Source organism: Homo sapiens, chromosome 5 (assembly GCF_000001405.40).
Source record: "Homo sapiens chromosome 5, GRCh38.p14 Primary Assembly".
Lineage (NCBI taxonomy): Eukaryota > Metazoa > Chordata > Mammalia > Primates > Hominidae > Homo > Homo sapiens.
In genome coordinates, this window is record NC_000005.10 from 64,316,465 (window position 1) to 64,343,238 (window position 26,774).

The following is a 26,774-nucleotide window of genomic DNA, read 5'->3' on the forward strand; positions in this document are numbered from 1 at the left end:
ACAATGTGTGGTCTGAGTGAATATTTATTCATCCATGCATAATTTGTTGAGAACGTACTATGGTGTTGTAATGCACTCTGATATTTAGGGTTTAAGGTAGTGACATTTTTGTGAAATTGTCCCTGCATTCTTCAGATTGCAACAGATACAAGACTTTGGATATGCTATAGCTTAGGTCACTTATTTTTAACCATTAAACTAGAAATAAAAATATATAAATCAAACACATTTAGTACTTAACCTAATATAATCTTTAAGAGTCTTGAATATATGAAATATAATTGTGTTGATGGAGAAGGCAATTTGAATGCTTATCCTTTACTTCTGTGGTATATTTCTGTAATCCAAGAGAATATTGTTGTTTATTAATTTTGCACTGAAATACAGATATGTCCCTCAATGTCCAAGGGGGATGCGTCCAGCGACCCTTCACACCCCCTGGCAAATACTAAAATCCACACATACTCAATTCCTACAGTAGGCCCTGTTGGGACCCAGATATATGAAAAGTCAGCCCTTCATATCCACAGGTTTTACTTCTCACAAATACTGCATTTTAGATTCATGTTTGATGGCAGATGCAGAACCTGCAGACATGGAGGGCCAACTATATTTATTGAAAAAAATCCACATATAAGTGGACCCACCCAGTTCAAACCCATGTCAACTATATATATGTGTGTGCGTGTGTGTGTGTGTACACACACATATACAGGCATACCTCAGAGCTATTGGTTTGGTTCCAGACCATCACAGTAAAGCAAATATCACAATAAAATGAGTTGCATGAGTTTTTTTGTTTCCCAGTGCATATAAAAAGTTATGTTTATACTGTTCTGTAGTCTATTAAGTGTGCAATAGTATTATGTGTAAAAAATGTATGTCTTAGTTTAAAAGTACTTTATTGCTAAAAAAATACTGATAGATATTAAATGAGCACATGCTATTAGGAGAAGTGATGCCAACAGACTTGTTTGTCACAGGGTTGCTACAAACCTATAATTTGTTATTTTTAAAGCAATATCTGCAAAATGCAATAAAGCCAAGCATGATCAAGTGAGGTGTATATATATGTATATTTATATATACATATATACACATACATATATATACACATATATATACATATTTATACACACACACACACACACACATATATACACACACACACACACACACACACACAGTAGTCCTGCCTTATCCACAGAGGATATGGTCCAAGACCCCCCAGTGGATGCCTGAAGCAGCAGGTAGTACCAAACCCTATATATATATATGTTTACACACATATGCTCCTCAATTTTCTATGGGTTTTTGTCCTGATAAACCCATTTTAAATTGAAAAATGTAAGTTAAAAATGCATTTAATACACCTAACTTACCAAAAAAGTGTTGCTTAGCCTAGCCTACCTTAAATGTGCTCAGAACGTTTCCATTAGTACATTTGCCCACAGTTGGGCAAAATCTTCTAACACAAAGCCTGTTTTATAATAAAGTATTGACTATCTCATGTAATTTATTAAACACTGCACTGAAAGTAAAAAACAGAATGGATCAATGGGTGCTCAAAGTATGGTTTCTACTGAATGCATATAATTTTCACACCATCCTAAGTTGAACCATTTTAAAATGGGCACCATCTGTGTTATGTGTACTGTATGTGTACTATATGTTTTTTTCTATATATACAACCTGTGATAAAGTTTAACTTAAAAATTAGTCACAGTAAGAGATTAACAATAAAAAATAGAACAATTAACTATATTCTGTAATAAAAGTTATGTGAATGTGTTCTCCCTCTTCTCTCTCAAAATATTTTATTATACCATACTCGCCAATCTGATAACTGAGACATGTATGAAATAACTAACAGGTGGTAGTATATACAAAGTGGATATACTGAACAAAGAAATGATTCACATCCTGTGTAGGATGGCAAAATATTTCATCATGCTACCTAGAATGGCACACAATTTAAAACTTATGAATTGCTTATTTCTGGAGTTTTCCATTTAATATTTTCAGGTAAATGGTAAATGAAACTACAGAAAGTGAAACCACAAATAAGGGGGAACTATTATATACACACATACATACATATATAAAATAAGACTAGGTGAAAATTTTCATTTACTTTATACATACTTTTTTAGACAATTTTTAGTGAAAGCAAAGTGATACTTATTCTGTTTCTTTTCAGCTGATAGTTAAAAGTGGGATTATAGAAAAGGGTATATTTTTAAAATAATAAATGTATCATACTGCTGGAACACAGCAATATACCATCAGTTGAACAGACTCAGGAATTTCTAGGCAGTAAAAAACAATTGGATTTGCATTTATTTAGAAAATGAAGCAAATTGATTTTTTAAATGCCCAAGAAAAAACAAACTGATATGGAATTGAGAGTTCTCATCAGAGACCTGGAATAATTTCAAGATCAAAAATCAATTAGGATGCATGACATTACGCATTTGACAAAACTCATAGAATTGTGCAAAAAAAGAGTAAGCCCTAATGTAAACTGTGGACTTCAGTTGTCAATAATGTATTAAAGTTCGTTCATCATTTGTAACAAATGTACCACACTAATGCAAGATGTTAATAATAGGCAAAACTCTGTGTGTGTGCATGTGCGTGTGTAGAGAAAGTATATGGAAATTCTCTGTACTTTCTGCACAATTTTTCTGTGAACCTAAAACTGTTGTTTAAAAAAAAAAAAAAAAACTTTGTATCTATAAAAAGGTTACCTTGAGGTTGAGTCCTCGGCCACATGCTTGTGAAGCATATACCACAATAAAGGATCCTAACCACATTTTTGACAATAAAGATTATTCTTTATTTCATTTAAAAAAATAATTTCTATAGAAGACACCACTGGGAAAATTGGTAAAATTTGATGTACTATACATTATACTATTGTGTTAATGTTTAATTTGCTGATTTTGATTATTGTGATATGCAGTGTGATTATATGAAATAATATGAATGAGAAAGAGAATATGATAAAGGCAAATGTTAACAATTGATGAACCTAAGTCTAAGGTAGAGTTATTTATACTATTCTTTGTGCCTTTTCTATAAACTTGAAATTATTTAGAAATGCACTTTTTAAAAAATTTAAAATACAAATGTTTTTCAAAGTCTAGAGCTTTCCTACTCCCATTGGGTGGGCTGGCTGAGGTCATAAGTACATCATGTACCCTGTGAGCAATGCAGAATATATGATTTAAGCTCCTGAGAGTATTATCTGGCTGAGGAAGAAGTGTTCCCTTTTAATAGGTGAGTGAGGAGTGGCATACAAGTTATAGGGATGCCTGCGGCCTTTTATTATGAAAACAAACTAGCAGCAGTCAAAACAAAACAAATATTTTGTACAGTTGAATCTTTATTTTTACAAGATTTGGCAGGTGCCATAAGATCTAGAACAGTGGGACTTTGGGGGAACTTTGTATTCATTAAAATGATCTGAACATTGTTTAAAAAAGTCAGCCAGGTAGCAGGAATTATAGGTCATGATATGAATCAGTTTTCAAAGTGTGAACCAACAGCATCAGCATTACCTGGGAACCTATTAAAAATGCAAATTCTCAGGCCCCATCCCAGATCTACTGAAGCAGAAACTCTAGGGATGGGCCCAGCATTAATTTAACAAGCTCTCCAGCTGATTTTGATAGGCAGTAAAGGTTTAGAGCCACAGGTGTGAACATTATAATTGTTACTAGATAACCTGCTAAATTGTTGGCCTAGTCTTGATCCTGCCCTTCCACTTCCCATGTAAAGAAAAGCTAGCTTTGACATTTACACTCTGACAACACCATGGGAACTCCTTCCTAAATTCAAGGACATGCCTGGTTCTTGGAGCTGGAGGGAGAAGCAGAGTCTGGAAATAGATTGATGGTGGGCATGGAAAGGCAGTTCTCATGAGTGAAGTAAGTCCTTCACTCCCTAGGAAAACATTCTATATTTTAGCAATTGTGAGAATCCTCAGCCTGTATGCTTGCTTCCCACTATATACACAAAAGGTACATGTTTATTGACATACTTCGTTCATTTAGGATTTGCAGTCAATTTCTCTATTCAGAGTAGTGATCTCTTGCAGAAAAAGACCTACACAAGTGAGGGAATCTGTGTCAGCTAACTATACTAATAAACCTAATCCCTTGTATATAAAAATAAAGCAAATATTGTCAGACTTTTGAGGAATATCAATAATGTAAAAGAAGAAACAACCTGACACAAGGAAAAACAGATCCAGAAAACAAAAGGGATATTATAAATGGTCTAATTAAGGCTGGGCGCGATGGCTCACGCCTGTAATCCCAGAACTTTGGGAGGCTGAGGCAGGCAGATCATGAGATCAGGAGTTCGAGACCATCCTGGCTAATACGGTGAAACCCTGTCTCTACTAAAAATACAAAAAATTAGCCGGGCGAGGTGGCGGGCACCTGTAGTCCCAGCCACTCGGGAGGCTGAGGCAGGAGAATGGCATGAACCCGGGAGGCGGAGCTTGCAGTGAGCCGAGATCGCGCCACTGCACTCTAACCTGGGGAACAGAGCGAGACTCCGTCTCAAAAAAAAAAAGGGAAAGAAAAATTATGAATGGGCAAAAGCTGGAAGCATTCCATTTGAAAACCAGCACAAGACAAGGATGCCCTCCTCTCACCACTCCTATTCAACATAGTATTGGAAGTTCTGGCCAGGGCAATCAGGCAAGAGGAAAAAAAAAGGGTGGGGGGTATGCAGATAGGAAGAGAGGAAATCAAATTGTCGCTGTTGCAGATGACATGATTCTATATTTAGAAATCCCCATAGTCTCAGCCCAAAACCTCCTTAAGCTGATAAGCAACTTCAGCAGACTCTCAGTATACAAAATCAATGTGCAAAAATCACAAGCATTCCTATACACCAGCAATAGACAAACAGCCAAATCATGAATGAACCCCCATTCACAGTTGGTATAAAGAGAATAAAATACCTAGGAATACAGCTAACAAGGGATGTAAAGGACCTCTTCAAGGAGAACTACAAACCACTGCTCAAGGAAATAAGAGGACACAAATAAGTAGAAAAACGTTTCATCCTCGTGGATAGGAAGAATCAGTATCATGAAAATGGCCATACTGCCCAAAGTAATTTATAGATTCAATGCTATTCTCAAACTACTATGGACATTTTTCACAGAATTAGAAAAAACTACTTTAAATTTCATAAGGAACCAAAAAAGGGCCCGTATAGCCAAGACAATCCTAAGCAAAAAGAAGAAGGCTGGAGGCATCATGCTTCTTGACTTCAAACTATACTACAAGGCTACAGTAACCAAAACAGCATGATACTAGTACCCAAACAGACATATAGACCAATGGAACAGAGACCTCAGAAATAACACCACACATCTACAACCATCTGATCTTCGACAAACCTGATAAAAACAAGCAATGGGGAAAGGATTCCCTGTTTAATAAATGGTGCTTAGAAAACTGGCTAGCCATATGCAGAAAACAAACTGGACTCCTTCCTTACACCTTATATAAAAATTAACTCAAGGTGGATTAAAGACTTAAATGTAAAACCCAAAACCACAAAAACCCTAGAAGAAAACCTAGGCAATACCATTCAGGACATAGGCATGGGCAAAGATTTAATTATGAAAACGCCAAAAGCAATTGCGACAAAGGCTAAAATTGATAAATAGGATCTAATTAAGCTAACAAGCTTCTGCATAGCAAAAGAAACTATAATCAGAGTAAACAGGCAAGCTACAAAATGGGAGAAAATTTTTTCAATCTACCCATCTGACTATGGTCTAGTATCCAGAATCTATAAGAAACTTAAATTTAAAGAAAAAAACAACCCCATCAAAAAGTGGGGAAAGGGTATGAACAGATACTTCTCACAATTTTATGCAGCCAACAAACATATGAAAAAAAGCTCAACATCACTGATCATTAGAGAAATGCAAATCAAAACTACAATGAGATACCATCTCATGCCAGTCAGAATGGCGATTATTAAAAAGTCAAGAAACAATAGATGCTGGTGGGGCTGTGGAGAAATAGGAATGCTTTTACACTGTTGGTGTATATGTGTGTATATATGTATACACGTATATATATATATAACGGAATATATATATACGTGTGTGTGTGTGTGTGTGTGTGTGTGTGTGTGTGTATAACGGAATACCATTCAGCCAATAAAAGGAATGAAATAATGGCATTCTCAGCAACCTGGATGGAACTAGAGACCATTATTCTAAGTGAAGTAACTCAGGAATGGAAAACCAAACATTGTATGTTCTCACTCATAAGTGGGAGCTTAAGCTATGAGGATGCAAAGCATAAGAATGACACAATGGACTTTGGGGACCCAGGGGGAAAGGGGGAAGGGAGTGAGGGATAAAACTGGGTTCAGTGTATACTGCTCAGGTGATGGGTGCACCAAAATCTCACACATCACTACTAAACAACTTATTCATGTAACCAAAACCACCTGTTCCCCCAAAACCTATGAAAATAAAGAACAAAATAAAAACAAAGAGGACAATAAGGAATATGAAAAAGCATTGTTAAATAAGCCAAAGAATGAAAATAAGCAGAAGAATAAAATATAGTTAAAATGCATAGATTAACAGTTTTAAGGAACATGCTCCTGACAAGTAGGGGCAGAAGGCAGTCTTTGTGTTTGGAGTTGAGAATATAATGTCTTGTTCAGAAGGGGGAGATTACAGATACTGAACTTCAACTATTTTTGTTAACACTTAAGATTAATCTTAAGAATACAAATAGGATATAGGCTGGGTGTGGTGTCTCACAGCCTGTAATCCCAGCACTTTGGGGGCCAAGGCATGTGGATCACTTGAGCCCAGGAGTTCAAGACCAGCCTGGCCAACATGATGAAACCCTGTCTCTACTAAAAATACAAAGAATAGTCGGGCACCATGCCGCATGCCTGTAATCCCAACTACTTGGGAGGCTGAGGCAGGACAATCACTTGAACCCAGGAAGCAGAGGCTCTGTGCAGAGATCACACCACTGTACTCCAGCCTGGACGACAGAGTAAGACTCGGTGTCAAAATAATAATAATAATAATAGAATATAATAACAGTAAACACTTATAGTATGTTTTATATTATAAGCACTGTTTTAAATGCTTGGTTTGAGAAAAACATTCTCAAGGCTTTAGCAAAAACTACAGAACCTGTAGAGAAAGAGCAGAAGGGATGGGGGAGGGTAGAGAAGTATGGCCGTGGCTAACATTTTTTGATAATTAATTACTATGTGCCAGGTGCCATACTAAATGTATTAAGTGGATTACCCCATTTAATCCTCACAGCAATTTCACAAATGAGGAAGTTGTGAGTTACAGGAATTCTGCTAACAAACCTTCTACTATTAATACTAACCTCTGAGCTGCCTCTTTCCTAACTACAGTAAATCCTCATTTATTTTGCTTAAAGTCACCATTTCCAAGAACCTACTGGTGATGTTTTAGGTGGATGCAAAGGTAATTGCAGTTTAGTAGCAAAGACCGCAATTACTTTTGCACCAATCTACTATCAGTGACTTCAGGCGAAATAACACCACCAATTTTACCATAGGCTAATTGATATAAATAAAGAGTTCAATTTTTACAGCCTATTTCTGATCACAAAAGCATCACCAAACTTCTAAAGACCAAAACACTTCTAATATTAAACACTGAAATAAATGTGAGCTATACATACATACATTTACAAAAGATGAATAAAACAAGATAATTACTGGAGCTTCTCCTGGCAGCTCAGGGTACAAGGCAGGAACCAGGCCTGGATGGGACACCATCCCACCACAGGGCACACTCACACACACCAACACTCACCCCAACTGGGACCATTTAGACACACCAGTGCACCTAACATGCACATCTTTGGGATATGAGAGGAAACTGGATTACCCAGAGAAAACCCCCACAAACGTGGGGACAACATGCAAACTCTGCACAGACAGAAACTCCACACAGACAGCAGCCCCAGCTGGAAATCGGTTTTTTTTCTCATCATCGTTATAACAAGACAATGTTGAATGAAATGACATTATTCAAGAACCTGCTGTATCTTTTTCCTAACAATTCCATTTGGGAGGGGAGAGAGGCTCATCATGTTTCCCCATAGCAAGGCTAATCCCATAATTACTCTCAGTTTCTTTGCTTTGCTTTCCTCCTGACACCCCTTAGGCTTTGGCTCTTTCTTTGAGGTCCAGGAAGACACAAAATATAGAATAGAGAATGTTCCACACGCAGTATGAGAATGAAGTATGACGTCTTCTGCCTTCACTTTTCATCATGCATGGATGCTCATATTAAAACTCTATAACCTTGTGACAACCAGTTTATTTGCTGTGGTAGGAATGGGGTAGATAGAGAATCTACATAATTCTGGGACTGGTACACCTAACACCTATCTAGTGTTGATTAAGCCAAAATACAGGTATACTTAATAGGTTTAGGTATATTTTAGCACTTAGCACTATGTCACAATACTAAAAAGAAAAATAGGCTTCTGGGTTTTCATGTATATTTTTAGTTTCTTGACTTTGAAAGGTAGCATTTCTGGCACTTTGAATATGCCACAGTTTATATGCTTCTCAAATATTTTTGTTCATTTTAACAAAATATAAAGGCTATCTTAAGGAAACCAATCTCATACTAAATTAAGAAAAAAGTTTTCTTATGTTTTGCAGACTTTGAATAATGAGATGAGTACAGATGAAGACAATGAATATGCAGAAGAAAAGGATAGCTACATCTGTGCAGTGTGTCTGGACGTTTATTTCAACCCTTATATGTGTTACCCTTGCCATCACATCTTCTGTGAGCCCTGCTTACGGACTCTGGCCAAAGACAATCCTTCAAGCACTCCATGCCCATTGTGTCGGACAATTATTTCTAGAGTCTTTTTCCAAACAGGTAACAATTCTCTTTCATTAACATGATTGTCTGATTATTCTACCTCTTATAGTTCTAAAGGTACTTTATAAATTAAAAAGTTACTGAAAATCACATATACCATAATTTGTTATTCTCCAGTTTATAAAACAGTACTTACCCAACTCATAAAACTGTTAGAATCATAGATGAGAATAGATCCTCATCTCGAATTCCCTACTGTACACTCAGATCCTTTCTAAAACACTGTAACTAGTAGTTGTTCAGTCTTGGACATTTCTAGTGTTAAGGAAGTTCCATTTGAAGCAGTGCTGTTGATTATTTATTCCTCATATCTGCCTTCCACTACCCCTTATTCTTTGGTTCTTGTTATTTCCTTTGGAGTCACAGAGAATAAATCCGTAAATATCTAAGTACAATTACTACATCTTTCCCCCAAACTCAAAATTTTCTCAACCTTCTTAATGTTCTTAAGGTTAAGGTCTTTCTCCTTGAACAGGAAAAAAGTCAAATTGGAGCAAGGATTTGTTGACCTAATTTTCATATAAAGATGTAATATAACACAATATTTAAAATATTAATGAAGAGATAATAATGAATGTGGAACATAGAGAATGACTAAGGGTAGAATGATAGAATTCACTACTAGGTGCTAAATATTAGGTGGGAAATTTTCTATCTTCACATTCTCCTCTCAGCCATAAAGGAGCCAAATGAGGATCTGAGTATGTACTACATTAATAGTAAAACTGAAGAGAATAAATATATGGTGCGTCTTTCTTCCCTCAAGGAAATACAAGGACCCACCTGCTACATATTTCTCTTAGGGGAAAGGGTTTAAAATGATTGCAACAGCTTTTTATTCTGGTAAAAAAAAAATTATACTCAATTATGAGTACCAAATATTGTACTACCAGAAACTAAATGGAATTATTAATATGGACAAATTTTAACTAAATCTTATTTAATAGAAACTCCTAAATATTAATATTTGCTAAGCATACATTGCTTACTATAGTGACTCACATATTGTAAAATCTATAACTCCATTTTGACAAAGTATCAGGTAAAGAAATTTTGTTTTTTGTTTATTTTTGTCTATTTTATATGCCTCTGCCATCAGGCTGCATATTCAGCTGGAGATTGGGACTTCTCAGACTAGTTTGTAACCTTTTAACAGTTCACTAGGAAAAGATGAAAATAAGATTCAAATTTACTTTGTTTCATCCATATTTCCGTGAATTTATCGAACCATCCTTGCATTTGTTGGATAAATCCCGCTTGGTCATAGTGTATCATCTTGATGTGTTGTTGGATTCCGTTTGCTAGTATTTTATTGAGGATTTTTGCATCTATTTTCATCAGGGCTATTGGACTGAAAACTTTTTTTTGTTATTGTCTGTTTTGGTATCAGAGTTATGTTGGCCTTGTAGAATGAGTTAGGAAGACTTCCCTCTGCTTCAATTTTTTGGAATGGTTTGAGAAGAATTGGTAATAATTCTTCAAAGATTCAGTAGATTTCGGCAGTGAAGGCCTCCACAGCTGGACTTTTCTATGTTGGAATATTTTTTGTTACTAATTCAATCTCATTACCTGTGATTGGTATTTGGTTTTCTACTTCCTCTTTGTTCAATCTTGGTAGGTTGTATGTGTCTAGGAATTTATACATTTCCTCTAGGTTTTGAAATTTACTGGTATATATTTTGTTGTTCATAGTAGTCTTTAATGGTCCTTTGTATTTGGTATGTGTTGTGACATCTTTTTTGTTTCTGATTTTATTTGGGTCTTTTTTTCTTAGTCTAGCTAATAGTTTGTCAATTTGGTTTATCTTTCCAAAAAACCAGCTTTTTGTTTTGTTAATTTTGTTGTTGTTTTCTTAGTCTCAATTTCATTTATTTCTACTCTGGTCTTTATTATTTCTTTCCTTCTAATTTGGGGTTTGGTTTGTTCTTGCTTTTCTGGTTTCTTGAGGTACATACATCATTAGGTCATTTATTTGAAATCCTTCTAGTGCTTTGATGTATTTATTGCTATGAACTTGCCTCTTAATACTGCTTTTGCTGTGTCCTGTAGCTTTTGGCGTATTATATTTCTATTTTCACTTGTTTCACATACTTTTTAAATTTAAATTTCTTTCTTCATACATTTGTCATTCAGGAGCATATTGTTCAATGTCCACATATTTGTATAGTTTCTAATGTTCCTCTTTTTGATGTCCAGTTTTATTCCATTGTGACCAAATAAGCTATTTGACATAACTTCAAGTTTTAAAATTTTGTTATACTTCTTTTGTTCTAACACATGGCCAACCCTAGAGAATGGTCCATGTGCTGATGAAAGGAGTGTGTAATCTACTGCTGTTGGGTGACATGTTCTGTAAATGTCTGCTAAGTCCATTGGGTCTGTGGTGCAGCTTAAATCCAATGTTTGTTAATTTTCTGTCTAGATCTGTGCAATGCTGGGAATGAGTTATTAAAGTCTCCAACTGTTATTGTATTGAGATCTATCTCTCTCTCTTTAGATCTAATAATACTTGCTTTTATCTGGGTGTTCCAGTGTTTGGATACATTTTTATAATATTTATAATTATTATATTCTCTTGCTGAACTGATTCCTTTATTGTAATTTTCCAGAAGGAGGAGGAAGAGGGAGAGGAAAAGGAAGGGAAGGGAAGGAATAATAAGAATCCTTAAGTTGCAAACTGTTCACCTTCGTTTGTATTATCTGCCATGACACACCACATGGATCTCATTTCCAAGGACATTTAGAAAGTTGTGAGTCAATTTTCCCAAGAGTTAATACAATACCACTTTTTTGGGGGGGATTTTTAACTTCTCAGAAAATACCCTGAATCATAGTTATCAGTTCTTAAGTCCTAAGAAAAAGACCAGTATTACTGTAAATGAATATGTTATTTGATAACTTCTTTCACTTTCTTCATCAATATGAATGACACTGACAAGCCCCTTCAACCAAGTGATAGTGTCATAACCATCTTACACTAAAGGGCTATAACTGGGCAGTGGGAAAAGTGGACTTTAATAAAACAGCTATGCATTGCTGCAGAAACCCTTGAGAGAATATCTAACTTGAAATGATTAACTTTTAAACATATGAAGGATTTTTAAATGCACTGTAGTCATATCAACTCTCTAGCATACATGATGAGCATGAAAATACCTTTTCTCTAACTTGTATGCTGGTTCGTGGGTGTGCAATTGGGAAGGGAGTTAGAGTTGCAGGTTTAATAGATAACTTCAGTTGCCTAGAGTAGTGTATTTTTTACATTTGTCCTTTTGTTGTTAATTGTAAACTTTGTGAATCAGTTTTCCCTTTAAATTTCTTAGGTAAAAATCAACCCAAGGCAGTGATTAAGAAAAATTGAGAAAATTTAATTCAAATCACTTGAGCCAAAGCTTAAGGCAGTTGAAGTAGGATGGAAACTGAGGAAATGCTACAGGTGATCATTGCGGGATGAAAGTAAGAGGGGATGGTTGATGGAAAGCCTAGTTTACTTCTCAGGTTAGTAACTAGCTCTGCACCAGCCTAAGAGGTTGTTCTCAGATCATGGTTTGCTTTCTATGGTTCAGATATAAAGAGTTTCTACCGTTTAAAATGAATACCATCATATATGTTCTCCAGTTGGTCTGTGTGTACTTCAAACGACTATATCCTTTTTAACTCATTAGTAAGCTTCTGAATGGTTATTTTCATATTTTTAAAATTACCTCAAGTATATAGCAATAGACTCAGGTGGTCAACCCATCACATATAGAATGAAATAGATTATGAAGTTTAAAGTTCTACAAGTGTTTTTCCTTTTCACTATCACTCCTGAGCTCAGATTACACTCTAGCTATTCTGTTGTTACACTCATAACACATTATTCTCCTTTTTTGTCCACCTGTTTATTTCTTTTAGACCACCAGTCCTCAACCTTTTTAGCATCAAGGACCGGTTTTATGGAGGACAGTTTTCCCAAGGAATTAAGCGGAGGATGGTTTCAGGATGAAACTTTTCCACCTCAGATTATTGTGCATTAGTTAGATTTTTTTTCTTTTTTTTTCTTTTTTTTTTTTTTTCCCAAGATGGAGTCTCACTTCTTCGCCCAGGCTGGAGTGCAATGGTGCCATCTCAGCTCACTGCAACCTCCACTTCCCAGGTTCAAGCAGTTCTCCTGCCTCAGCCTCCCAAGTAGCTGGGACTGCAGGTGCCTGCCACCATGCCCAGCTAATTTTTGTATTTTTAGTAGAGATGGGGTTCCACCATGTTGGCCAGGCTGGTCTTGAACTCCTGACCTCAAGTGATCCACCTGCCTCAACATCCCAAAGTGCTGGGATTACAGGCGCATTAATTAGATTCTTACAAGGAGTGTGCAACCTGTATTCCTTGCATGCGCAGTTCACAATAGGGTTCACTTCCTATGAGAATCTAATGCTGCCACTGATCTGACAGGCGGCAGAGCTCAGGCAGCAATGCTTATTTGCCTGTGGCTCACCTCCTGCTGTGTGGCCCAGTTCCTAACAGGCCATGGACTGCTACCCATTTGTGACCCAGGGGTTGGGGACCACTGTTTTAGACTACAGTTGTTTTAAGGTGAGGGACGATGTCCTATTTATCATTATATACTCTATACTGCTTGACATAGGAGCTACTCAGTAGATTTATGTTCTATGTGTAGGCATGTCAAAGTTGCACCAAATGTGAACTTGAGGAAGTTGTATTTGCTTGAGTAAAGAAAAAAATGTTGAATCTATTTTTGTCTTCACTGACTTAAAGAGGTGTGAATTGTATCAAATAGTATCAAAATACTACAGTATTCACTTGTCATTTTCTTGCCATTTTACTCAAATTAATTTCAAAATCCTATTTTCTTTTGCTTTATTCTAGAATTGAACAATGCCACAAAAACTTTCTTTACTAAAGAATATTTGAAAATAAAACAAAGCTTTCAGAAATCCAACTCTGCAAAATGGCCCCTACCAAGCTGCAGAAAAGCATTTCATCTTTTTGGAGGTAAGGAAATCTAACGCCAAAAAAAAAGTCTGGTAATTTTGTCTAAGGTCTGTTCTTAAAAGTAACTTCCTGCTGTCTCAGAAATATTAGGGGAAACATATTTCTGTATTAATCAATTTTAAATAAGGATTTTGCTAAGTATCTCCTTGCTGAAAACTACAGATGTACAAATGAAGAAAATGAAGACTATACAATAAGAGCAAATCCGAAGACTCATGACTAAATTGACTTTGCCATGCTATCACTGTTTAGTACATAGATAATGAAAATACGTCTCAAAAGTATCAGATTTGACAAAGTCATATTTATGGCAGCGGCAGCCCATCTGGAACAGCTGCTACTATGAAGCCAGCTGCAGTCGGGGAGGCACAAGCCAGGGCTGCACATTCCACAGAGCTGGCAGGAGCCAGGAACAGGTGGGAGCCCTGCCCCTTTCCAAGTTAGCAGGGTGGGAGCCCTGCCTACCCAGGCAAAGTTGCAGCCACCCAGCCATGGCTTCGGACCGAGACATCCTTGTACTCTTGGGGACTGGGGAAGCCCCCTTGCCCCTGCAGGCTCAGAAATGCCTACTCCTGCTGCCTGGCCTCTCCATGCTCCTGGCACCCACTCCAATTTCACAGCAAAGTTGAAGCCAAGCCCAGGCACTGTCGCAACCCAGCCAAGTGTGTACACTCTCAGGGCAGTCCTGACATGCCAGCCCCCTGCTGCCTAGGCCCACTCCAAACTCTGGGTGCTGACAAGCATGGGAGGAAGGCTGAGGGGAGCTGAGGGCAGCTCAGCGCAACCTGCATACACCGCTTGGCAAGAATAGCTTGGGCACTGTGGGCACCGTGGATGGCAGGTTGATGGTGGCAGGAGGCAGACAGGCTCCTGGGCAGAAAGGGGACAGGTCCCTGGTAAAGCCCCACCTTCTTCAAACCTGAAGACTGGGGGCTGGGCTGTCAGTTCTGTGGACCAGAGTGAGAACTTACAGTGCTTTTTCCAGGCCTGCCTATGGCCACCCATGAACCAGTCAGCATGCACTTCCTCCCCTCTTTAGCCCATAAAAACCCTGGACTCAGCCAGACTCAGGCAGACAGTGGGACAACCTACCTGACAATATGACCTGTGAGTCTCCTCTCCACTGAGGGCTGTAGAGACAGCGGGACAACCTGCCTGTGAATAGGAGATACCCACTGTGGGTCTCCTGAGAACTGTTCTACCACTCAGTGAAGCTCCTCTCCACCTTGCTTACCCTCCAGTTGTCTGCATACCTCATTCCTCCTGAATGTGGGACAAGAACTCAGGACCTGCTGAGTGGCAGGACTAAAAGAACTGTAACACAATAAGGGCTGAAACACACCCCCGCCCCATGCTCGCCACATTGACGGTGACAAGACAAGAAGAGCTGCAGCCCTTTGAGGAGCCCAGATGTAGAGATCCCTGAGCCAGGGCTGTGACACCCTCCTTGGGGTTCTGCAGTTCCTGGAGTCTCCAAGCTTCCAGGCACCACTGCATTTACCTCGTCCTGACTCGGGTGCCCACAGCAGAAGCCGCATGAAGTATATCTCATCCAGCCACAGCCACACACAGAGCCAACACCTGGAGCTCCCTGCCCCGCCACAGCAGCCAGCATGCCTGGCTGTGCACAGTGGCTGGACCTCACGCTTGCTCAACCACACACCCCTTGCCATTCTGCACCTGGCTTGCACTTGGCAGATGTGGGATCTGAGCCAGTAGTAAGAGCCAAGCACAGCCTGCCAGGCCAAGTGGGTTGAACTGGCCCAGCAGGCACAAGCAGTACTCAGGCAGAAGATGCCGTCAGCTACAGAGGTTTCTGGCTGGTGAAGTGACACCCTAGGGATCCTGTGACAATAGTTAACAAAGGCACCAGTACTCTGTATAAAGATTCCTAATAATGCGTTCATTAGCAGAAGCTCTATTTATTTAGTTTTAATATTTTATAGTTGTCCCACAAGTTTAAAACAAATAGAAAGTAACAGAGCCTTGGTGTCAGGGTGTCTTAGAGATGTGCAGTGGTCAAGGAATACCAATTTCTGGCTTTAGGTCTAAGTTATCAACATGACTTCAGCGATATCATAGGATCTCTGTTTTGATCTGTAAAATAGGAATAATTATGTCTTCCTCACCTAACTAATATAGTAGTAAAGATTAAATGGGCTAATGTGAAAGTACATTGTAAATTATAACTAATTGGAATATAAAAATATAAGGAATGAAGGTAATGCAATATCTAATACCTTTTTCTGCTTTGGGAATTTGTTACTATATGAACATACAATATGGACATAAAATATAATTTCATCTTTTATGAAACCGTAGTTTATCAAAGCATGAACTACTGTGCAGTTTTCGTTATTTAACAATTATGACATTATGGGACCTGGTAGAAAAGTCCAGATATGAGGAACTGTGATCTTCAGGGAACAGGAGGAACTTCTGCATAAGACCAACAAAATCAGTACAGCTACTACCTACACCAAAAGGAGGTTGGTCTTCTGCGTAAGACCAACAAGATCAGTACAGTACTACCTACACCAAAAGGAGATAGAAGCAGAGCCCCTATGATTGTGGCAAAAGAAAAATTGGTGCATGAAATTGGTACTCTCAAAGAAAGTAACATAAGAATATAACTTTACACAGTGATTTGAATGAAGAAAATAGTTTAAGGACATTATATAAGCACATACTACTTTATAAAGTGGTCAGTAACTGTAAAAATTTAATATCTAGAGATTTGGTATAGATAGGTTTTATTTTTATTTTTTACTCATTTATTTTATTTTTTTGAGACAAAGTCTGGCTCTATCGCCCAGGCTAGAGTGTAGTGGCGCAATCTCAGCTCACTACAACCTCTGCCTCCTGGGTTCAAGCAGTTCTTCTGCCTCAGCCTCCCAAGTAGCTGGGATTACAGGTGCGTGCTACCATGCCAAGCTTTTTAGTAGAGAAGGAGTTTCGTCATGTTGGCCAGGCTGGTCTTGAATAATGAATGACCTCAGGTGATCCACCCGCCTTGGCCTCCCAAAAGTGCTGGGATTATAGGCATGAGCCACTGTTCCTGGCCATAGATAGGTTTTAATAGGTCACATTTAGCCCCCAAAATATGAAATCAAATGTAAGAAATCGAGTCTTAAAGGATTTCATACCAAAGAAAAGTAAGTTTATTATTTTAAGAGTGTTCTTCAAAACAGTCCCTTGTATTCTACCTTCTATGCTATACCCAAAGTTCTAAAAGAATGGAGTACCTTCTGGATAACTCTACACTTTCCCTTGTCTTTTTGTATTCTGAGGTAGTACAGAAGCTATAATTTAAAGCAGTTGCTTCCTTGTGATTTCTTCTTGTCTTCCCCATAGGAGTTCCAAATAACTTAATTTTTTAAGTGTGTGTTTATGAAGGAGGTTCAAAGTAGCATTATTACACCACCCAACATAAGAAATATATATATTCTATCAGGAGCTCAGCTGAGCTGGGAAAGAGCTGAGTTATCAGGTGTCTGGAGTAGCCGATTAAAGTATCAAGCCAAAAATGAAGGAGTTAAGCCTTTAATCATTTACTGCAATAGTATAACCAAGAGTCTAAAACCAGAGGAAATGCTGTCTCCTCCTGTTCAATTATCTCATGCAACAGTGCACACTGGTCCAGGGCCACATAGAGCAGGGCAGAAGTAAGGATTCACTCACTGTTGAGAATGTCCCAAACAAAAGGCTCCAGCAGTTTTTCAGACCCTGAGGTCAGGAGGATTGGCAAAGAGGAAAGGCTAGGAGTAGGAAAGCAATGGGCACTGAGTCAGAGTGGAGAAAAGTGTTTCCCCCTCCAACCTCCATAAGAAAGCCTTTGTAGAGACACAGAAGGACCTCTGCCCAAGCCGTCAGATAGATATAAGTAGTAACAAAGGTGCTGGGAATATGAATATAAATACGTAAAAGTGTATATGCAGCCAGGGGAGCCTGAGAACTTGACTGCAGCTCCCTTCAGAGATTGTAATGCACTGGTTGTACAACAAATCTGGCTTTTTCCCATGAATCCTGCCAGATAAAGCCTTTGTAATGGTCTGTTGAGGCCTGAAAAAAAATCGCACATAGGATTTTAATCAGGAACTGTACTCCTCAATTACCAATATTATTGAAGCACCTTCTGTAGTTCTTCTTTGTTTACCCTGATTCCCCTGAATTTTGTATTTATCATTTCTTTGTATAAGTATACATATGTATACTTAATCATGTTACTTAATTTTGCTTGTCTTTTAACTTTTATAATGGTAGCAATGTATATATTCTGCTTTGCTTTGTCATTCAATATTTTTCTCAAATCCATTTCAGTAAGTGTGGCCACATTCTTTTTACTACTACACTGTAGTCAATTATGTGAAAATGCCCCAACCCAACTTATCCATTCTCTTGTTGATGAACAATTGAGTGGTCCAATTTTTATTATAAACAGTGTTTCTATAAACACTCTTGTGATGTCTCCTGGAACATAAGAGTTACTCTAGAATAAATGCCAGGTAGAAACTGGCTGGGTCATAGGAAAAGCACATCTTTAACTTCATAACCTACCCAAAACCGTTTTCCTAAATGGCTGTGATGATTTATCACCAGCTTTGTCTACCACATTTGGTATTTTCAGTCTTTTAGATTTTACTGATTTGATAGGTAGAAAATGATATCTCATTGGGGTTTTAATTTCCATTACTGTGATTACTGATGGGGGTTGAACATATCTTTATATGTGTATTGATCATTAAATTTCTTCATCTGTGAAATGCTTTTTTACGATTTTCTGTTGGTTGTATTTTTTTGTTGTTTAAGAATGTTAAAATATTTTCTAGTGACTTTTTTTCTGTTGGTTATATGAATGGCAGTTATTGTCTCCCAGTCTGTGGGTTCTTTTTACTTTGATATATTTTAATGAATTGTAGTTCTTCAATTTCTTCATCTTTCTGGTGTGTACTTGCTTAAGAAATTCTTCTCTTTCCCCAAGGTCATAAAGATATTTTCTTATGTATTTTTCAAATAATTTGAAAGATCTTTGAAACTGATTTGTGTTAATTTTTTTTTTATTGATTTACTTTCTTTGTTGTAGGTAGAGACCCAGTTTCTTTGGATTTTTTTCCTACCACCATTTGTTGAAAATAATGTATCATTTCCTCACTGATCTACAGTACTAATCTGTCATATTTTAATTTCCACACTTGGGTCTGTTTTGAGGTCTTTGAGTCCATTGGTATAATTTTTTATTCCTATAGCAATACCATACTGTTTCAGTCACTAAAAACTTAGTAAGTTTTGATATCCCCCCTTCCAATTTGTTTTGCTGCAAGAGTGTCTTGGCCATTTTTTGGCCCTTTGCTCTTCCATATAAATTTTTAAATCACCTGGTCAAGCTGCATGAAAAACTATGTTCTACTTGGGAAATGGGGTCCTATTAAATGTATAAATCAATTTGGGGAGTATTGATACCTTAGAGTAAAAGTACTTCTATCAGTGTTGTTTATCTCTTCATTTGTTTAGATCTCCTTTGATGTCCTATAATAAAGTTTTATAATGTTTTTATAAATATCTCGCACATCTTTTGGCTAGATTTATTCCCATGTACTTGCTATGTTGTCCTCTTCTCTCCTTTTTTGAAACTTCAGTGCAGAAAAATTGTCCTAGTCACACTTAATTTATGGCATACCATCATCACTGTTCCACATACTCATTTGTTTTCTTTTTATCCCCATATCCTTCTTTCTACTTCACTCTCATCCCATAGCCAACCATTATATTGGGTTTACTTAATGTGTGTCATTTTGTGTTCTTATAGAATGTATATTGTTTCTGCACATATATTTTTAATTTGTGAAAATGGTCTTATATATTGCATTGTTTCTCTTTCACCTAGCACTGCCCTTTAGATCCATCCAAGTGGTTATGCGTACCTCTAATCTGTGACTTCTAATTAATGCTCTACTAAGGTGTGCATTTACCATATTTTGTCTATCTATTCACTTTCTAGAATACTTCCAACTCTCTGCCACAATAAAAACACTCTAATGAATATCCTACTGTGGGCTGTGAATATCTATTTGGTATATAGGCTCCAAAGCAGAATGTCTGGGTCATAGGATATGAGTATGCTTGACTAAATATTGCCAACAGTTCTCCCAAATGACTAGCCTAGACACCTATTATCAGTGTGTAAGGTTGGGAAAAATTAGCACTATGGAAAATGTTGACAGGGAATGAGAATTAGAAACCCTCATTTTAATTTACATTCATCTGATAATAGTTTAAGGTCATTTTAAATATTAGCCTTTCAGATGCCTCTTTTGTAGTTACTTTGCTTATTTTACTATGGGGGTTTCTGCCCTTATTGGTTTTATAAAATTTCTTTTATATTCTAGATATTAATTTTTTATTTACTTTAGACATTACAAATTTCTTCTGCCATTTTTATCATCTACATATTGTTTGTCCATGGTATCTTTCATTGTAAGGAATTCTTAACTTTGATATAATTAAATGTTTTTCGCTTTGTGTCTTAAATTTTTATTTAGGTTCTTCCCTATTCCCAGACCACAGAGGTTTTCACTTTGATTTTCTTTTTTTGTTGTTGTTTTTTTTTTGTTTTTGTTTTTGTTTTTGTTTTTTTTGAGACAACGTCTCACTCTGTTACCCAGGCTGGAGTGCAGTGGTATGATCGGCAGCCTCAACCTTCCAATTCAGGCAATTCTCCCACCTCAGACTCCTGAGTAGCTGGGACTACAGGAGCACACCACCATGCCTGGCTGATTTTGTTTTTGTAGACACAGGCTCTCACTATGTTGCCTAGGCTGGTCTTGAACTCCTAGCTCAAGCAATCCTCCTTCCTCGGCCTCCCAAAGTGCTAGGATTACAGGCATGAGCCACCCTGCCAAGCCTCGCTTAGATGTTTTAAATATTTATTTTGTAGTTTTACTTTTTCGGTCTTTATCTAGAATCTTCCCCTTATATTTTGTTAAAGGTTCAACATCTGTCTTTTTTCATATAATAGCCTACTTTTCTGAATATTATACAATCTTGCTGAGATTTTTATATGGTTTCCTATTGTTGTCTAGAAATATATTTTTTTGCAATCTTTTTTATTTTTTATTATACTTTAAGTTTTAGGGTACATGTGCACAATGTGCAGGTTAGTTACATAAGTATACATGTGCCGTGCTGGTGTGCTGCACCCATTAACTCATCATTTAGCATTAGATATATCTCTTAATGCTATCCCTCCACCCTCCCCCCACCCCACAACAGTCCCCAGAGTGTGATGTTCCCCTTTCTGTGTCCATGTGTTCTCATTGTTCAATTCCCACCTATGAGTGAGAACATGCGGTGTTTGGTTTTTTGTCCTTGCGATAGTTTACTGAGAATGATGATTTCCAGTTTCATCCATGTCCCTACAAAGGACATGAACTCATCTCTTTTATGGCTGCATAGTATTCCATGGTGTATATGTGCCACATTTTCTTAATCCAATCTATCATTGTTGGACATTTGGGTTGGTTCCAAGTCTTTGCTATTGTGAATAGTGCTGCAATAAACATACGTATGCATGTGTCTTTATAGCAGCATGATTTATAGTCCTTTGGGTATATACCCAGTAATGGGATGGCTGGGTCAAATGGTATTTCTAGTTCTAGATCCCTGAGGAATCGCCACACTGACTTCCACAATGGTTGAAATATATTGATATTGGTATGTTGTTATCATATTTAACAACCTTACGAAATTGTCTTATTAAGTCTAATTATTTATAAGGTTTTTGTGGCTTTCAGTGAAGACAATATTAAATAAGGACAATTTTATATCTTTCAATTTAATGCATATGCTTTTTTCTCTTTGCACTTACCAGACTTTCTGAGCTAGGACTTCTATTTGATTTTGAACGGAAAAAGTAATCATAGCATCCTGATTTTAAAAGGAATGCTTTTGGCTGGGCGCAGTGGCTCATGCCTGTAATCCCAACACTTTGGGAGGCCGAGGCAGGCGGATCACGAGGTCAGGAGATCGAGACCATCCTGGCTAACACGGTGAAACCCCGTCTCTACTAAAAATACAAAAAAATTAGCCTGGCGTGGTGGCGGGTGCCTGTAGTCCCAGCTACTCAGGAGTCTGAGGCAGGAGAATGGCGTGAATCCGGGAGGCAGAGCTTGCAGTGAGTGGAGATCGCGCCACTGCACTCCAGCCTGAGCAACAAGGCGAGACTCCATCTCAAAAAAAAAAAAAAAAGTAATGCTTTTAATATTTACAAATAGGTATAATTGTTGCTCTGTATTCTTGGTAAGTACCCTTCATCAGGTTTTAAGAATGTTCTCTCATCTGTTCCTAATTTCTAATGCCTGTAGTTTTTCTTAAATGGAGTTTAATTTTGTGGATGTTTTTTCAGCATTTCTTGAAATTATCATACGGCTTTACTTCCTCAATTTGTTAATGCACTGAATCATATTAATAGATTGTAATTGATGTTCTAATGTTAGGACATTAGAACACTGCTAGATTTGGTTTGCTAATATTTTGTCTCAGAATTTTACTTATTTATGAGTAAAATTGTATTTATTTTTTATACTGTGTTTTGTCAATTTCTTCCTAAGTTTATATATCTTTTTGCTGAGAATTTTTTTTGTGTCAAATTTGTTAGCCTTTGTTTATAATATTTTAATCTGTCTTGTATATCTAGTTATGCTCTTTGAATTCTGATTATCTACTCATTTTTCTGTGATGTTGCTGAGTATTTGTCAATTTTATTATTCCATTTAAATTACCAAATTTGAGAATTGTCTATTGTATCTTTGTTTTTATACATTCATTTCTGTTCTTTATTAAATCCTTTCTGTTACTGTCTTTGGATTTATTTTGTTATTTTTATACCATATTAAGGTGACTTTCTAAGTCAGTTTGCATCCTTTTTACTTTCTTTGAATTATTACTTAAGGCTATAAATTTCCCTTCATCACTTGTAGTATTTTTTATTCTTCATTTCTAATTATTTTTTATAATAAACCACACAATCACATACTGGTTGGATCATCTTGATTAAAAATAACAATTGTACAAAATCAGGTTTGTATTGGAAAATTAGCACCTGTGATTTCAAGTTATACCACACTATTTCATATAAGATGCCATCTATGCAACATTAATAGGTTCCCTAAGAAATTTACTTCTCAGCTTGGTTTTCATGGTTGGTAGATGGAAGTAAGGTGGAAAGGGGGATCTTATGGGAAAAAAATAGACATTCCCATATACGCCTTTGGCTTCACAAAATTAGTGGGTTTTTTTTTTTCACACACACACAAAATTGCGAAGACAAACAGTTACAGATTTTCCAGCCAAAGAAGCTTGTATAAAAGCTTGAACTCAGGCATAAAACTAGCTAATACTTGTCCTTTTCACCCTATGAAGTGTCTTACATAATCAATAAGTAAGCAGACGTTTTAAATTTTTTTCTTCTTACAAATACATATTTCATGTATTAACACATAAAATGGGTAATAAGAAAAGGAATGGAAATAATCTAGATAAATGTGAGCTATCACTCTTTAATCTCTTATCAGATACTAGTTGCATGGATGACTCTGTCAATTGTAATTCCTTTCCCTGAAATACCTACCATTTTCAGGCATTTAATCCTCAGTTTATTTGAACAGTATCCAACTGATATGGTTTCCATCTATGCTATGTTAATTTATTCCCTGAAAAACCATTCATATATATAATTACATGCATATGTATACACACATACACACACAAAGCAATGTAGCAAAGAGGTTTCACTAAAACATTTTTGCAAAAAGTTCTACATTGTTGAATTTCTTTTCTAAACATACTCAAGTCAAAGGAATTTTTAACAAGAATTAAAAATTCCATGTTTTAATTTTACTCACTGTAACAAAAACATGCAGCTGAAATGTAGGTGTCTGATATATATTTATGACAATCCATCCATTTTTCATGAAAGCCTGGAGAATTATTTTATTTGGTCATTAGTTTGCCTGAAGGTGTTAGATTGGTGCTGCAAGTTTAAACATGCTCAGTATAAATCAAAGAACTCCACATGGAAAAGAATGATTATCTCTAATAGAAAACAAAACAGTACATGCTCACACAGCATGAGTGTGAATATAACGCAGAAATCCACCTTCTCAGAAAGTTGGAGGTAAGTCAGAGAAAATTTAAAATATGCTGTAGACATGGGACTGCCTTGGAGCTGAAAGGTACATTAACCCTTACATTTCCTCTGAAACTGGAACAATTTTGTTCACAAGATAATTTTTTGAAAAGGCCTGCAAATTCTGAACTTGTTCTTTTTAGCAGAATCAGGTTCTATTTTTGTTACACAGTTTACTTATGAGTTTAGAATTTCAGAAGCCTTTTGCTTCTATATTAAGTTCATGACCCAAATGACTTATAATGCAAATTGTACATTTTGTTCAACTATCACCACTTCATAACTTATTTTAAAAATTATGAGCAGTGTTTCATTCTCTCCTTTCCTCCCTCCCTCTTCCTTTACCTCCTTCCCTCTCCCTTTACCTACTCTTTCCCTCTGACTCTTCCTTTTGCACACACACTCACAATTTTTAGTCTTTTCATTATTTCACATATATAGAACTTGCTTGTTAATTCCATATGAAATTGGATGTTGGTGGGATATGATGCCTTCATTTTAAAACACTTGCATTTATAAAAGTGCACATGTATGCTTGTGCATTAAAAATTCAACCAGTAACCACAAGACTTCTGAAATTAGCTCAAGAAATAAATTCTCCTGGTGTGAAAGCGTGGTGGCCACATAGTCCTGACCTTGGCCCAGAGCTCACAATTTTAATAATGTGTCCCAAAATAATGCTTTACCTAACTACCCTAAGGAATAAATGACACCAAGTAAAAGTGTTCAAAGATATAATAAGATGACTGATACTGGATTTTTTTATCCTTTGAGAAGAAAGGGCAGAAAGGAAGTGAAGGAGCTCAGCATAGCTCTTAACTCAAACTGGACTGTTGATATCAATAAATGGTGTCATTTAATTAAAAGAAAAGATTTCAGAAATGTTCAAGTGTTCTAAAGTTTGATCACTGTGTGACTACCTTGTTGGGGCCATGGGCAATGTATGTACTCATTGTGAATCATTCTGGGAAACTGTGGTCAGTCTGGTATAGAATATGAAGATTGAGTATGTAGGCCTTAAGTGAGATGATGGAAAACCTACTCCATTTCTGCGAGACCTCATGGTAGGTTTAGATTTATCCTATTCTACAATCATGAAGAGTAGAGTACTCTTGGGGGTGATGGTGGATACTCACTCCTGGGACACAGAGGTGAGCAAGGAGTACAAAGGTATCCTGAGGATGAATCCATGTCAGTGCAATGGCTGCAGGTTATTCTTGATGTTGTGTCATACCTTTTATACCAAATGATCAAAAATGTTATGAAAAGTTATAGCAGATCTGATCTATACAACATTTGAGACACAGTAGCAAAAGGTAGCTCAGGGCTGTCCTCTTCTGCTTCAACACTAGAAGAGTAGAAATCTCATTTGATCAGCAGCAGCAAAGATGGAAATGGCAGATCAGGAGGCCAGATTAGAGGGATGAATGTGACCTGATTCTGAGTACAACGAGAAAACAACCACAGAACCCTGAGAAAGAGCAGGGACAGATATAAGTCAAGTATATTACTTCTGGCAACAACAGGAGTGGGAATTTCTGCTTCTGAGTAGGATATAGTAAGTGGTGGCAAGCGATCACTCTCAGTGGCAATAACTGGGGGGAAATTATAAGTTACAAAAATCACATTTACAAACAAATTTGAGATATATGGAATTGAAGACTAGGTGAATTAAAACTCCAGTATGATCAGAGCCCCCTAAGAAAGCTAATATTGCCAGCTCTTTGCTTTACTGGAAGTATTTTCTGAGTCTGAGGATTAGTCTAGCCATGGGCAGAGGACTCTATGAAGGGGAATAGAAATCAGCAGAAGTTTTGATAACCATAGAGACTGACATGTCGGATTGGAAGAGGAGTCCAAACATATAGCCGATTTTCTACATGAGACATTTGCTGAGAGCTTTGGGAGTAAAAAAGGCTTAAAAAGTTGGCTAAAAAAGACAGAATGAAATCTCTTGTAGTCTCAGAGTTTAGGAATCAAGTTATCCTACAGGGAGGGACCTATAACAGATACATAATAAGAATCCTCCTTAAGATATATCTCATATTTTAAACCTATATAGGATGGATGGCTAAAGAGAAACATCCACAACCTCTGAAAAGCACAGCTTTCAGATTAGAAGAGCTAGGGACCTTATAAACTGTTAAGCAAAAAATGCAGAGAACCATGCTGTAGTAGGGAGTCCAGACCTGAAAAACAACACACTAAACACTAAAAATTTTCTGCAGTCCCATTGTGAACTCCGTAGTGCTTTGGAGATAAAGTCCCATTAAAGAAATGAGGCAGCAATAAACACAGCGTAGGTCATGTGTCCTTAAGACGTTTGAAATTAGATTGAGTATAATGAAAGTACAACCTAACTTCAAACCCAACCCTGCTTATTAATTGTTAGATTGAGGGGATGAGTCTCTCACTCTGTCTGCCTGACAAAAGAAAGGTCCAGTCCTCTCTGGAGGGAAATATCAACTTCAGTCTCCATGGATCTTTCATACAATAAAAAATTATGATATATGCAAAAGGTTAGGAAAATGTGACCACTCATCAAAAAAGAAAGTACAAAATAGAAACACATCTCCTCTTTGATCTAGATGTTGGGGTTAGCAGACTTTAAAATATCCATTAGGAAAAAAGTGTTAATGAAAATAGAGA

The 26,774-nt window shown here is 37.0% G+C and overlaps 1 protein-coding gene across 13 annotated transcripts in view; it reads left to right on the top strand.

The window, feature by feature from the left end:
• Positions 1 to 26,774, top strand: part of RNF180 (ring finger protein 180) — a 207,519-nt gene that overhangs the window by 151,114 nt on the left and 29,631 nt on the right. For 4 of the 13 annotated variants that reach the window (XM_047417118.1, XM_017009388.2, XM_017009383.2 and 1 more), the window contains exons 6-7: positions 8,704 to 8,947; positions 13,817 to 13,942. In XM_047417118.1, coding sequence (XP_047273074.1) covers positions 8,704 to 8,947; positions 13,817 to 13,942 — 370 coding nt within the window. Of the gene's footprint in view, positions 1 to 8,703; positions 8,948 to 11,559; positions 11,703 to 13,816; positions 22,799 to 26,774 lie in introns of those variants that run through there. The other 9 variants (XM_047417120.1, XM_047417119.1, NM_001113561.2 and 6 more) reach the window with 5 other exon arrangements.